The sequence below is a fragment of the Homo sapiens genome, chromosome 9 (genome assembly GCF_000001405.40).
Source record: "Homo sapiens chromosome 9, GRCh38.p14 Primary Assembly".
Lineage (NCBI taxonomy): Eukaryota > Metazoa > Chordata > Mammalia > Primates > Hominidae > Homo > Homo sapiens.
This window is the reverse complement of record NC_000009.12, coordinates 77226716-77240676: the sequence shown is the minus strand read 5'-3', so window position 1 is coordinate 77240676 and position 13961 is coordinate 77226716. Positions and strand designations below refer to the sequence as shown.

At 34.3% G+C, this 13961-nt stretch overlaps 1 protein-coding gene across 4 annotated transcripts in view; it reads right to left on the bottom strand.

Annotated features, from left to right (window-relative positions):
* VPS13A (vacuolar protein sorting 13 homolog A) overlaps positions 1 to 13961 on the bottom strand; it is a 244004-nt gene that overhangs the window by 180861 nt on the left and 49182 nt on the right. For all 4 annotated transcript variants that reach the window (NM_033305.3, NM_001018037.2, NM_015186.4 and 1 more), the window contains exons 16-19: positions 13192 to 13286; positions 12413 to 12555; positions 2486 to 2675; positions 2291 to 2405 (exon numbers count right to left, since the gene is read on the bottom strand). In NM_033305.3, the coding sequence (NP_150648.2) occupies positions 2291 to 2405; positions 2486 to 2675; positions 12413 to 12555; positions 13192 to 13286 (543 nt within the window). The remainder of the gene's footprint in view (positions 1 to 2290; positions 2406 to 2485; positions 2676 to 12412; positions 12556 to 13191; positions 13287 to 13961) is intronic.

Genomic DNA, 13961 nt, shown 5'->3' with positions numbered 1-13961 from the left:
GTGAAACCCCATCTCTAGTAAAAATACAAAAATTAGCTGGGTGTGGTGGCATACCCCTGTAATCCAAGCTACTCAGAAGGCTGAGGCAAAAAAATTGCTTGAACCTGGGAGGCAGAGGTTGCAGCGAGCCGAGATTATGCCACCGCACCCCCAGCCTGGCTGACAGAACAAGACACTGTCAAAAAAAAAAAAAAAAAACAAAAACATAACAAAAACAAACCACAGATTTGCCACCAGCAGATTCTTACAAGAGAAAATATTTACAAGGGAAGTTTACAAATGAACTTCCAGGCCAGGTCCGATGGCTCACACCTGTAATCCCAGCACTTTGGGAGGTCGAGGAGGATAGATCATCTGAGGTCAGGAGTTTGAGACCAGCCTGGCCAACACAGTGAAACCCCATCTCTATTAAAAATTTTTTTAAAAATTAGCCAGGCGTTGTGGTGGGTGCCTGTAATCCCAGCTACTCGGGAGGCTGAGGCAGGAGAATCGCTTGAACCCAGGAGGCAGAGGTTGAAAAAAAAAAAAAATGAACTTCCAACAGAAAGAAAATAAAATCAAATAAAAAGTGTAAGCTATAAGAGAAATGAAGAGCAAAGAAGGTAGTAAATGCACAAGTAATTGTAAACTACCATGAACTATATACATACAGTACAATAAAGTATTTTTAAGTAAAAAAAATAGTATATGGGGATGGTATATAAAGTTCAAGAGTACTAAAGTCCATATAATGACTAGGAGAATATAAAATTTTTCATTAAATTTATATTTTTACAAAAATGTATACTGTAATTTATAAAATAAAAAGAGATAGAGAATATTTAACTTCCCAATAGTAGATTGTAGGGAAGGGGGAAGAAAGGTATCCTAGAATTTATCCAAAGGAAGGCAAGAAAAATAAAACAAGGAAAACCAAATTCAAAAGCACAAAATAGGATGTTAGACATAAGCCTAAATAAATTAATTAAATGCAAAAAGTAGATATAAATAAAAAATAAGGACCATAAATCTAGATTGGAAAAAATCCTATTACATGTTGTTGACATGACACATCTGAAAACACAGGGAAAAAGTAAAAATATAAGAAAAAATATATACCAGGTAAATTCTAACGAAAAGAAACTTTGTACTTCATACTGACATCAGATCAAAAATAAAATAAAATAAAAAAGTACAAAGGGAAAAAAATTAAAGCATTAAAGATGTGGTTTATAGGAGGAAAAATAATTTACTCCTGCATGTACTTAATGACAGTCTTAAAATTTATTTTTTTTTTAATTTTTATTATTATTACTTTTGGTGTGTGTGGCAGGGTGTTGCTCTGTCGCCAGGCTGGTGAAACCTGGTCTCTATTAAAACCCCGTCTCTATTATGATTTTGCCATGTTGGCCAGGCTGGTCTCAAACTCTGACCTCAGGTGATCCACCCGCCTCGGCTTCCCAAAGTGCTGGGATCAAAGGTGTGAGCCACCGCGCCCAGCCAAATTTATTTTTTTAAACAAACTGACAGATCTATTAGAAATAGAAAAATCTACATTGATAATGAGGCATTTTTCATGTATTTCTCTTAATAACTGTTAGAACAAGGTGACAAAAGGGGAAAAAAAAAATCCAGTAAGGATACAAAAAATTTGAAGTAAAGGATTAACAATCCATACCTAATGAATAGGTATAGATATGAAAAGACAGCCTTTTCAGCATATGAGGAACATTTTTTTTAATATCATACATTGAGCTAGAAAACAAGTCCCAACCAATTACAAAGCATTAAAATCATACAGATAATCTCTATGGTCAACTATTTAATTAAAAAGTTCAATCTGTAATCTTAAACTTTCCCACAAAGAAATCTCCAAAACCAAGTGGTTTTACCATTAAGCTCTGCCAAATATTTAAGGAAGAAATCGTACCCGACCTTATTCAAACTCTCCTAGAGAATAAAAAAGGATAGAACTTTTTTCCCTGAGGCTGATATATCAAAATCTGGAACGCATTCTAAGAAAGGAAAACGAGAGGCCAGTTTTTGTCATAAATAGAGGTCCAAGTATCCTAAGCAAAATTTTGCAACTAACTTAAATGTGGTTACTAGGTATGAACTTTCTGAGTGTAAAAAATGATTATGGTTTTATCTGCCTTTAAACATAAAAGTACTAAATTAGTTTCTGTTAAACTAAAACCAGTCTAGAAATATAATAAATTTAAAATAAACTTTACTAAAAACATTCTACCATAAATAAAAGTTTAATATAGGATACAGTATTTAATTCACCAACATTAATATTGGCATTTACCTGTTGCTGTCTTACTGCGAAATTCTTCCAGTTTTGTCAAAGTTGCTGCAGTGAGCTGTGCTAGATGTACCTCTTTTGGAGGTCTGAAGAATTCCACTATACTATTCACTGTCCTCTGTTAAAATAAACATCATTAACACAAACTCAAAGCAAACTAAATTATATTAAAACTTAGTAATTTAAAAAAATGCTTACTGCATCATATATGATTTCTAAAGGTTCAGCTTCTATGATACACCTCTGAGAAACAGTTTCATCTAATGGATTTATCTCAAATGTAATTTGGAAAAGTGACATTGCATCATCCAATGAAGACAGGAGGCGGGGTTTTTCTGAATTATCTGGTAAGCCAGTAATATGAAATGAATCTATTTTAGTTTCAAATCTGCATTAAAAAAAAAAGAAAAAAGTCAGCGATCAGTAAAATTGTGAAGGATTTTAAAAATTGAAAATGATTTAAAAAATTAATGAAGACAACTTCACTTTGCATTTCTGACTCCAGTCCATTCCCATCAAAGAAGACATACAATGATTCCTCTAAATTGACATAGATTAATTCACAAAGAATCCTATTTGTGTTGACTTATATGTAAAAAAGTTATGATAAGCTAAAATTAAAATGACAGTAAATCTACAATGCTTAATGTAAAACTGAAAAGTTTTGCATATTTAACACAAGTCTATAAACATGTTTTCTTCTAAAAATAAAAATAAACATTTAAAGGCCAGACATGTGGCTCACACCCGTAATCCCAGCATTTTGGGAGGTCAAGACAGGTGGATAACTTGAGGTCAAGAGTTCGAGACCAAACTGGCCAACGTGGTGAAACCCTGTCTCAACTAAAAATACAAAAGTTAGCCAGGTGTGGGGGCATGAGCCTGTAGTCCCAGCTACTCGGGAGGCTGAGGCAGGAAAATCGCTTGAACCAGGGAGGTGGAGGTTGCAGTGAGCCGAGATCATGCCACTGCCCTCCAGCTTGGGTGACAGAGTGAGACTCTGTCTCAAAAAAATAAAACAATTTAATAAACATTTAAAAACCAAGGATGAGGCAGGACTTCGAGAATGACTATGTGAGGAGCTCAGCAACTCTTCTCCCCAGCAAACCAAACAGGGAAAGAACTGGTGAAAATTATAAAATCTCTGGAAATCAATCTAAGGGCATACAGCAAACAGAAAAACTTTTATTCAAAAAAATCTAGGCTGGGCTCGGTGGCTCACGCCTGTAATCCCAGCACTTTGGGAGGCTGAGGCAGGCGGATCACGAGGTCAAGAGATCGAGACCATCCTGGCCAACATGGTGAAACTCTGTCTTTACTAAAAATACAAAAATTAGCTGGGTGTGGTGGTACATGCCTGTAATCCCAGCTACTCGGGAGCCTGAGGCAGGAGAATCTCTGGAACTCAGGAGGTGGAGTGAGCTGAGATTGTGCCACTGCACTCCAGCCTGGCGACAGAGTGGCATTCCATCTCAAAACAAACAAAAAAATCTACTAAAACTTGATAAGAACAGGGAGAGCCTGTGGCATCTGAGCTATGATCATTTCCCACCTCTAATCCCCACACCACGTTACAGAAAATCTACATTAATATGGGCGCAGCTAAGAAGATATCGTCACATGGCATTCTCCTCTTTATGTCTGTCTGCAAATTGTCTTCTCTAGTCTGTCTTATTTTCTGAGTCTGTGTTCAAATTTCTCTTTCCTTTGAAGAGCACACATCATTCAATTAGAGCAAACACTAATACAGCATGAACTCATTTTAACTTGATTACATCTGCAAAGGCTATTTCCAAATAAGGCTATATTTGCAGGTACTGGGAATTAGAAATTGACAATGTTTTGGATGATACAATTCTACCCACTACAGTAGGTAAACAAATGGAAAACTACATCCTTCAACAATCAACAACAACTAACCATGGAGAGGGGGGACATCTAATTTCCACAGTTACCACATTATACCACTCAAAACATCAAGTTTTAAACAAAAATGTACAAAGCTTACACAGAAAAGGGAAGACTAGCATTATGTTCACTAAGCCATCATGTTAAATAAGCTTACACTCAAAGACTAAAGAAAACCAGGAAAATAACATTTGAGCACAGAATATAAATCGACAGAAATTATTAAAAAGAACCAAACAGAAATTTTGAAGGTGAAAAGTACAACAGCCAATATGAAAACTTCACTACAGATGTTCCTTGACTTATAATGGGGTTATGTCCCAATAAAATCATTGTAAGTTGAATATGTCATAAGTTTAAAATGCATTTGACACACCTAGCCTACCAAGCATCATAGCCTAGCCTAGCCTACCCTAAATGTACTCAGAATAGTTATATTAGTCTACGTTGGGAAAAATCATCTAACACAAGGCCTATTTTACAATAAAATGTTAAATAGCTTATGTAATTTATTCAGTACTGTACTGAAAAGTGAAAAACAAAGGTTGTATGGATACTCAAAGTAAGATTTCTACTAAATATGGATCACTTTCGCACCATTCTAAAATCAAAAAAATCATAAGCTGAACAATCATGATTTGGGAACCATCTGCAGAGAGGTTTCACAGAGGATCTAAGCAGCCCAAAGAAAGAATCATCAAACTTGAATACAGGACAACTGAAATTATTGAGTCTGTGGAGCATAAAGAATAATGAAGAACAATGAACAGTGCCTAAAGTGGGAGACCATCAAGTGGAACAACATATGCACTACGGGACTCTCCGAAGGACATGAGAAAAAGAAAAAGACATTAAAAATACTGGGAGAAATAATGGCCAAAAACTTCTCAAATTTGATAAAGAACACAAATTTATACATCCAAGAAGCTCAAAGACCTCCAATTAGGATAAACTCAGAGACTCACACAGCAACATATTATAATCCAACTGTCAAAAGCTAAAACAAGGAAAATCTTGAAAGCAGCAAGAGAGAAGCAACTCATCACATAACAAGATATGTAATAGATTAACAGCTAATTTCTCCTCAGAAACCATGCAGTCCAAAAGGCAGCAAGATCATGTACTTAAAGCACTAAATGAAAAAAAATGTCAACCAAGAAATCTATATATGACAAAACTATCCTTCTAAAATGAAGGAAAAATGAACACATTTCCAGATGAACAAAAACTGAGTCTGTCTGTCATTAGTAGACCTGCCCTACAAGAAAGGTTAAAGGAAGTCCTAAAGACTGCAATGACAGGATATTAGATAGTAATTTGCAGCCATACAAATAAATAAAGAACTGTTGTAATTGTAACTACATAAGCAAATAAGAAAGCCAGTAATATTGCATTTTTGGTTTTTAACTCCTCTTTTTAATTCCTCTATGATTTAAAGACAAACACATAAAAACAAATATAAACCTAGACTAATGAACACAAGTATGTAAAGCAGTAATTTGTGAAAATGATAACGTAAAGATGAAGAATGGAGCTGCATAAGAGTAGAGTTTTTATACACTATTAAAGTTAAGTTAGTGTCAATTCAAATTTGACTGTCTTAAATTTGGACTGTTAATTGTAATCCCTATATAGTAGCCCTCAACAAAATGACTAAAATATGTTTGGAAAAAGAAATGAGGAAGAAATAAAAATATATCCCCCAAAAAATTAACAAACACTAAGAAGACAGTACTGAGGAACTGAGGGTACAGAAGGTATAAGACATACAATAAACAAATAGCAAAATGGCAGAACTTCTTGCCTACCAGTAAACATGTTAAATGTAAATGAAATTAAACTCATCAAAGGAAAGATAGAGACTGGCAGAATGGATGAAAAAAACATGATACAACAATACAGATGCTCCTCAACTTATGACTAATTATTTCCCAATAAACCCATCGAAAATATTCCAAGTCAAAAATGTATTTAATATACTTAGCCTAAGTCAGGGACCATAGGCATACTGCCTAAAAGAGACTCATTTTACATCCAAAGACACATATGGGTTGAAAGTGAAAGGATGAAAAAATATACTGCATGCAACTCATAACCAAGAGAGAGCTGGGTGGTTATACTAACATATAAAATAATCTTTAGCCAGGTATGGTGGCTCACACCTTTAATTCCAGCTACTCAGGAGGCTGTGGTGGGAAGATCACTTGAGCCCAGGAGTTCAAGGCTGCAGTGAGGCTATAACTACACCACTGCACTCAAGCCTGGGTGGCAAAGCAAGACCCTGTATCTAAATTAATAATTAATTAATTAACTTAAATATCTTTCAATAGAAAACTGTGACAAGAAGAAAAGGTCATTATAGTTTGATTAAAAGGCTCAATTCATCAAAGATACAACAATTATAAACATTTATACACCAAAGTCCTCAAAATATATGAATCACACCTTGACAGAATTAAAGGGAGAAATAGCTCACAATAACACTTAGAAATTTCAATCTCCCACTTCCATTAAATGAGGAATATTTAGGCAGAGGAACAATAAAGTAACAGAGAACCTAAACAACATTATAAACCAACTACATGTAACAGACAAATATGGACTACTCTACCCAACAACAGCAAAATACATTCTTCTCAAGTGCAAGCACATGGAACATTCTCCAGGATAGACCAAATGTTAGGTCACAAAGCAAATCTCAACAAGTTTAATAATACACCAAGCATCTTCTCCAACCACAATGGAATCAAATTAGAACTCAATAGAAGAAAAACTGAAAAATTCACAATTATGTGGAAATTAAACACTCTTAAACAAGCAACAGGTTAAAAAAAAAACCACAAGAGAAATCAGAAAATACGTTGAAATGGATGCGAATCAAACACAATATTACAAAACATACAGGATGTATCCAAAGCAGTTCTCACAGGGAAATTTTTGTTTGCAAATGCCTACATTAAAAAAGAAAGATTATCAAATCAATAACCTCACTTTACACTTTAAAGAACTAAAAAGAGAAGAGCAAATTAAACCCAAAGCTCACAGTATGAATAAAATAATACATGTCAGAGTGGAGACAAATGAAATACAGAAAACAAAAACACCAGAGAGAATGAAAAAAAATCAAAGTTGCCACTTTGAAAAGGTTAACATATTTAACAAACCTTTACCTAAAATAAGAAAAAAAACACTAAAGATGCAAATATCTATAACTAGAAATCAAAGTGGAGGCATTATGACACACCATAGAGGAATAAAAAGTACTACAAAAGAGTACTGCAAAAAACAGTACCAACAAAATAGATAAATGAACAAATTCCTAGAAATATATAAATTACAAAAACTGCCTCGAGAAGAAATAGAAAATCAGATAACTAATAGGAAGTAAAACTTTTCTATAACCTTAAAAACCTATAGTAAACTTTACTGTAACCTACAGATCCTACTTATAAACCTATAAACTATCAGTAAAACTTTACTATAAACTTTAGTATAGTAAAACTTACTATAACCTTTTAAACTTACTTATAGTAAAACCTATAACTAGTAAGGAGTAAATCAGTAACCAAAAACTCTCAACAAAGAAGAATTCAGCTGATATGGTTTGGCTGTGTCCCCACCCAAATCTCATCTTGAATTGTAGCTCCCATAATTCCCCCATGTCGTGGGAGAGACCTGATGGGAGGTAACTGGATCAAGAGGGTAGGTTTTTCCAGTGCTGTTCTCATGATAGTGAATAAGTCTCATGAGGTCTGATGGTTTTATAAAGGGAGCTCCCCTGCACAAGCTCTCTCTTGCCTGCCTCCATATAAGATATGACTTTGCTCCTCATTTGCTTTCTGCCATGATTGTGAGGCCACCCCAGCCATACCGAACTATGAGTCAATTAAACCTCTCTCCTTTATAAATTACCCAGTCTCAGGTATCTCTTTATTAGGAGCATAAGAACAGACTAATACAAGGACCAAATGGCTTCACTAGTGAATTCTACAAAATATTTAAAGAAGGATTAATAACAATCCTTCTGAAACTCTTCATAAAAACAGAAAAAGCATCTATTTAGCATTTATTTAAATGGAAAGATATCCCATGTTCACAGAAGACTTAATATTGTTATTATGGCAATACTACCAAAAGCAATCTACATACTGAATGCAATCCCTATCAAATTTCAAAGAGACACTTTCCAGAAATGGAAAAGTGAATCCTCAAATTCATAAGGTCTTGTAAGCAACCCTTGAACAGCTAAAACATTCTTGAAAGAGCAGAACAAAATAGGGAAGACACTTCCCAATTTCAAAACTTACTAAAAATCTGCAGTAATCAAAACAGTACGATATTGGTATAATGATAATCACAGTGAAAGTCTAGAATAAAAATGAGATAGAATTGAGAGTCCAAAAATAAAGCCATACATACATCTATGGCTAATTGATTTTCAACAATGGTACCAGGAGTGTTCATTGAGGAAAGAATAGTGTCTTCAACAAGTGTGAGGGGACACCGGGATATCCACATGCAAATGAAATGAGCTGTACCAATTCCTTATGCCATTTACAAAAATTAACTCAATACAGGTCATAAACGTATATGTAAGCGACAGAAGTATAAAACTCTTAGAAGAAAATACTGGAGTAGACGTTCACAACCTTGGCTTAGGTGAACCTTCTGAGATAAGACATCAAAAGCATGAACAACAAAATATAAGACCGGATGAAGTGAGCTTCAAAATTAAAAACTTCCGTACACCAAAGGACAGTATCAATGAAGTGAAATCACAAAATAAAGAATAGAAGGAAATATTTGCAAATCATGTACCGGTGACAGTTTAGTATCCAGAATACAAAAGAATTCTTACACCTCAACAACAAATGAAAAATAACTCAATTAAAAAAAAGACCCAATGAACTTATACAAAGGGCCAATATCCACATGAAAAGATGCTGAACATCATTAGTCATTAAGGGAATTCAAATCAAAACCACAATATGATACTAAACACCCATAAGGATGGCTATAATTTAAAATAAAAAAACAAAATAACAAGTGTTGGGAATGATATGGAAAAAATATGAATCCACGTACATTGCTGGTGGGATTGTAAAATGATGCAGACCACACCTAACTCACATCTAACATCATAATGGTGAAAGGATGAACACTTCCTTCGAAGAACAGAAACAAGAAGAGAAGCCCACTCTCATAATCTCTATTTAAAATACTACTGGAGGTTCTAGCCGGGGCAATTAGGCAAGAAAACAAAAGAAAGGGCATCCACATCGGAATGGAAGAAGTAAAACTATATTTGCAGATTATATGATCATGTATATAAAAAATCCTAAGGAATCAACTAAAAAAACTCATTGAACTAATGAAACAAGTTCATCAAGGTTGCAGGGTACAAGTGCAGTATACAAAACTCAATTGTATTTCTATACACATAATAATCCAAAATGAAATTAAGAAAACAATTCCATTTATATCATCAAAAACAATAAAATACTTGCAAATAAATTTAACCTAAGAGGTGTACTGTATCTGAAAACTGTAAAACGTTGTTCAAATTTTAAAAATCTAAATAAATGAAAAGATATCCAATGTGCATGGATTGGAAGACTTAATATTGTTTAGATAAGTAGCTGAATAATTTGTGCTGAATAATTTGTTCAGTACACCCAAAATTGATCCACAAAATTCAACACAATCTTTATCAAATCTGAGCTTATTTTTTTGCATAAATGGACAACATAATCTTAAAATTTATACAGAAGTTTAAGGAAATCAGGACAGCTAAAACAAAAAAACAAAACTGGAAGAGTCATACTTCCTGATTACAAGTTCTACTATAAAGCCACCATAATTAAGACAGTAGGGTACTGGCATAAGGCTAGACATATAGAACAATGGGATTAGAATTAAGAGTCTAGAAATCCTTACATTTATGATCAACTTATAAATTTTGACAAGCCTGCCAAGATCATTCAATGGGAAAAAATAGTTTTTTCAACAAATGGTGCTAGGACAACTGAATAATCTCATGAAAAAGAATGAAGCTGAATCCCCCACCTCACACCACACACTAACATTAACTCAAAATGGATTCTAACCCTACATATAAGAGGAAATAGCATAAAATTCTTATAAGAATATATAGGAGTATATATTTGTACCACTGGAGTAGGCAAAGATTTCTGAGTTATAATGAAAAGCATGTGTAGCAAAAAAAATATAAATTTGACTTCACCATTAAGAAAAATAAAAAGAAAACACAGTGAGAGAAAATAACTGAAAATTGTTTATCTAATAAGAGATTTGTATCAAGAATATATAAAGAACTCTTGCAAATCGATAATAAAAAGACAACCCAACATAAAATAGGAAAAAAAATCTAATAGACATTTCTCCAAAGAAGATATGCACGTGAAATGGCCAATAAGCACAAAGAAAAAAAGCTCAAAATCCTTAGCCATCAGGAAAATGCAAATCAAAACCACAGTGAGATACCATTTCATACTCACTAGAATGGCTGTAATCAAAAGAACAGATAATAACAAGTGTTGATGAAGATATGAAGAAATTGGAAACATCATATACTGTTCATGGAAATGTAAAATGGTGAGGCTGCTTTGGGAAACAGTCTGGTAGTTCCTCAAAAGGTTAAATAGTATTAGCATATGAGACAGCAATTCCACCCCAGGTGTCTACCCAAGAAAATTAAAACCCACCTCCAAACAAAATATTACTCATGAATACTCATAGCTGCAATACTCAGAAGAGCCAAAAAGAAGGAACAACCTAAATATCCTCAACAGTTAAATGGATAAACAAAACGTGATGCGTCCATAATAGAGATTACTAGGCAATAAAAAGGAATGTACTAATTCATGCTACAACAGGATGAACCTTGAAAACATCATGCTAAGTGAAAAATGCCAAACAGAAAAGACCAGATATTGTATGACTACATTCATATGAACTGTCCAAAATGGACAAATCCTTTCAAATAGAAAGTAAATTAGTTGTTGCCAGGGGCTGGGTAAGGGGGCACTTGGGAGTGACTGCTAATGATTACAGGGTTTCTTTGGGAGTTGTTAACATATTCTCGAATGAGCCAGGCTCACACCTGTAATTCCAGCACTTCGGGAGGCTGAGGCTGGCGAACTGCTTTGAGCCAACAAGCTCCAGACCAGCCTGGGCAACATGGTGAAACCCCATCTCTACAAAAATTCTAAAAATTAGCAAGGTGTTGGTGGCTCGCGCCTGTAGTCACGGCTACTCAGGAGGCTGAAGCTGGAGGTTAGCCTGAGCCCAGGAAGCAGAGACTGCAGTGAGCCAAGACCCTACCACCATACTCCAGCCTGGGCAACAGAGTGAAACCCTGTCTCAAAAAAAATAAATAAAATAAAATAAAGTTCTAGAATTAGATAGTAGTTGATAAGGTTTGGCTCTGTGTCCCGACCCAAATCTCATCTTGAATTGTACTCCCATAATTCCCACGTGTTGTGGGAGGGACCTGGTGGGAGATAATTTGAATCATGGGGGTGGCTTCCCCATACTGTTCTCATGGTAGTGAATAAGTCTCATGAGATCTGATGGTTTTTAGCAGGGGTTTCCGCTTTTGTATCTTCCTCATTTTCTCTTGCTGCCACCAGGGAAGAGGTGCCTTTCGCCTCCCCTGACAATTCTGAGGCCTCCCCAGCCATGTGGAGCTGTTGGTCCAATTAAACCTCTTTTTCTTCCCAGTCTTGGGTAAGTCTTCATTAACAGCATGAAAATGGACTAATACAGTGCTGGTGGTTGTACAGCTTCGTAAATATACCAATGTGAAATTACTATATAATATAGTTGTGAAAAATCAATGAACCACACACTTTAAATGAATTGTAGGGTATGTGAATTACATCTCAAAGCTACTTTAAAAAAAATAAAACTAAAAACTCTCAGATAAAAACCACATTGTTAATGCTGTTTCTTTTTGTGTAGTGTAGTTGCTGATCATTTTTGTATTATTCTTTAATGCCCTATGTTTCACTGGAATGTGGTTTTCTATTGAACATGTATTATCTTAACAATTAAAAAAAAAACCTTTTTCCTGAAACCACAAAAGGATATATGAAACTATAGTGCTCTTTACAAAAGACTAAGATTGTGACCTAATGTCTAAGAACACAGTGAAGTTTTTTCATATATGATAAAAAAAGATAAATTAATACTTACTTTATTGCTTGTGCTCCTGGTCTTTGCACAATTAAGGTGCTAAATTCTTCTATTACAATATCTACCAGCTCAGGTTTTTGATGATTTTCTCTTAGAACAATAGACATACTTTTCAAGTGGACAAAAAACTTCAAGGCTTCAAACTAAGGTATATTCAGAAGAATAAAATGAAAACATATATATATATATAAGCATAACAAATATTCTTATAGTACATTCATTTCAAAAACCACCAAATATTTTAAGGACATTTTATTTCTTCAAGAATCATCACATTGACCCCAAAAAAAGAGACAATATTTATCCCTACCTTAGAAATTAAAATAAATGCAATTACAGACCCAGAAAAAAGATCACAGAACAAGTCAGTAACATATATTTTTGAAAGGATTAAAAATGGACATATGTAACATTAAATTCCAAAGCATAAGGTCAGGAGCAGTGGTTCATGCCTATAATCCCAGCACTTTGGGAAGTCGAGGCAGGCGGATTGCTTGAGCTCAGAAGTTCAAAACCAGCCTGAGCAACATGGCGAAACCCCATCTCTATCAAAAAAAAAAAACAAAAAAAAAACCACAAAAATTAGCTAGCATGAGGGTGCATGCCTGTGGCTCCAGCTATTCGAGAGGCTGAGGTGGGAGGATTGCTTGAGGCCAGGTTAAGGCTGGCAGCAGAGATCACACCACTGCAGTCCAGCCTGGGCAACAGAGTGAGACCCTGTCTCTAAACAAATAAATAAATAAATATATTCTAAGGTATAAGGCAAGAAAACATCTTACTGTTTTTAGTAAAGTTGGATCAACTGCTGTTTCACTATAGCCAATTGCTTCATAGAGTAAAGCTTTTTCTTCAGGTGTCAACATTTCTTCAAGAGCTACAAATCAGAAAGAAGTGCTTTATGTTCTTAAATAAAAACAATAAAATTAACACAATGTATCTGCCTTTAATAAACAGAATGTGAAATTTACTTTCTTGAACGCTCTTAAGAAATTATAAACACTGAATGTTTGAATGGGGCTGGCAATTTTACAAGTAATTATCCAAAATATAAATTGCTAAATATGTAAGTTTAGCAACATTAATTTATAATATTTGTATTAAGCAAGAGCTCAAAAACGGCTAACTATATTAGACAATAGCACTGTGCTAATCAACACATTTAGTATAAAAAGTAGGTAGTATTAACATTGTAATTTCCTCCCATGTTATAGATGATAAAACTGAAGTTTAGTGCACTTAAATAACTTGCCAGAGACACACTGCTAATAAGTGATAGATCTAAAACATATACCTAAGTCTCTAAACCTCCAAAGCTATACTCTTAAGCTGTTAGTTAAAAATCAAAAATCTTTCCAAGAAACAACTTCAATAAAAATTTACAATGGAGAACACTTTGGAATTTTTATTTATTTATTACTGTGCTATATGCATTCACTAAATCTCTGGGCATAAAGCTCTTTTTGTAAGCACTAGCATGATTTTTAAATTATTTTTTATTTTTAAACTAATACACATTTTCAATGTTTTAATAGTTTTATTTGTAATAACT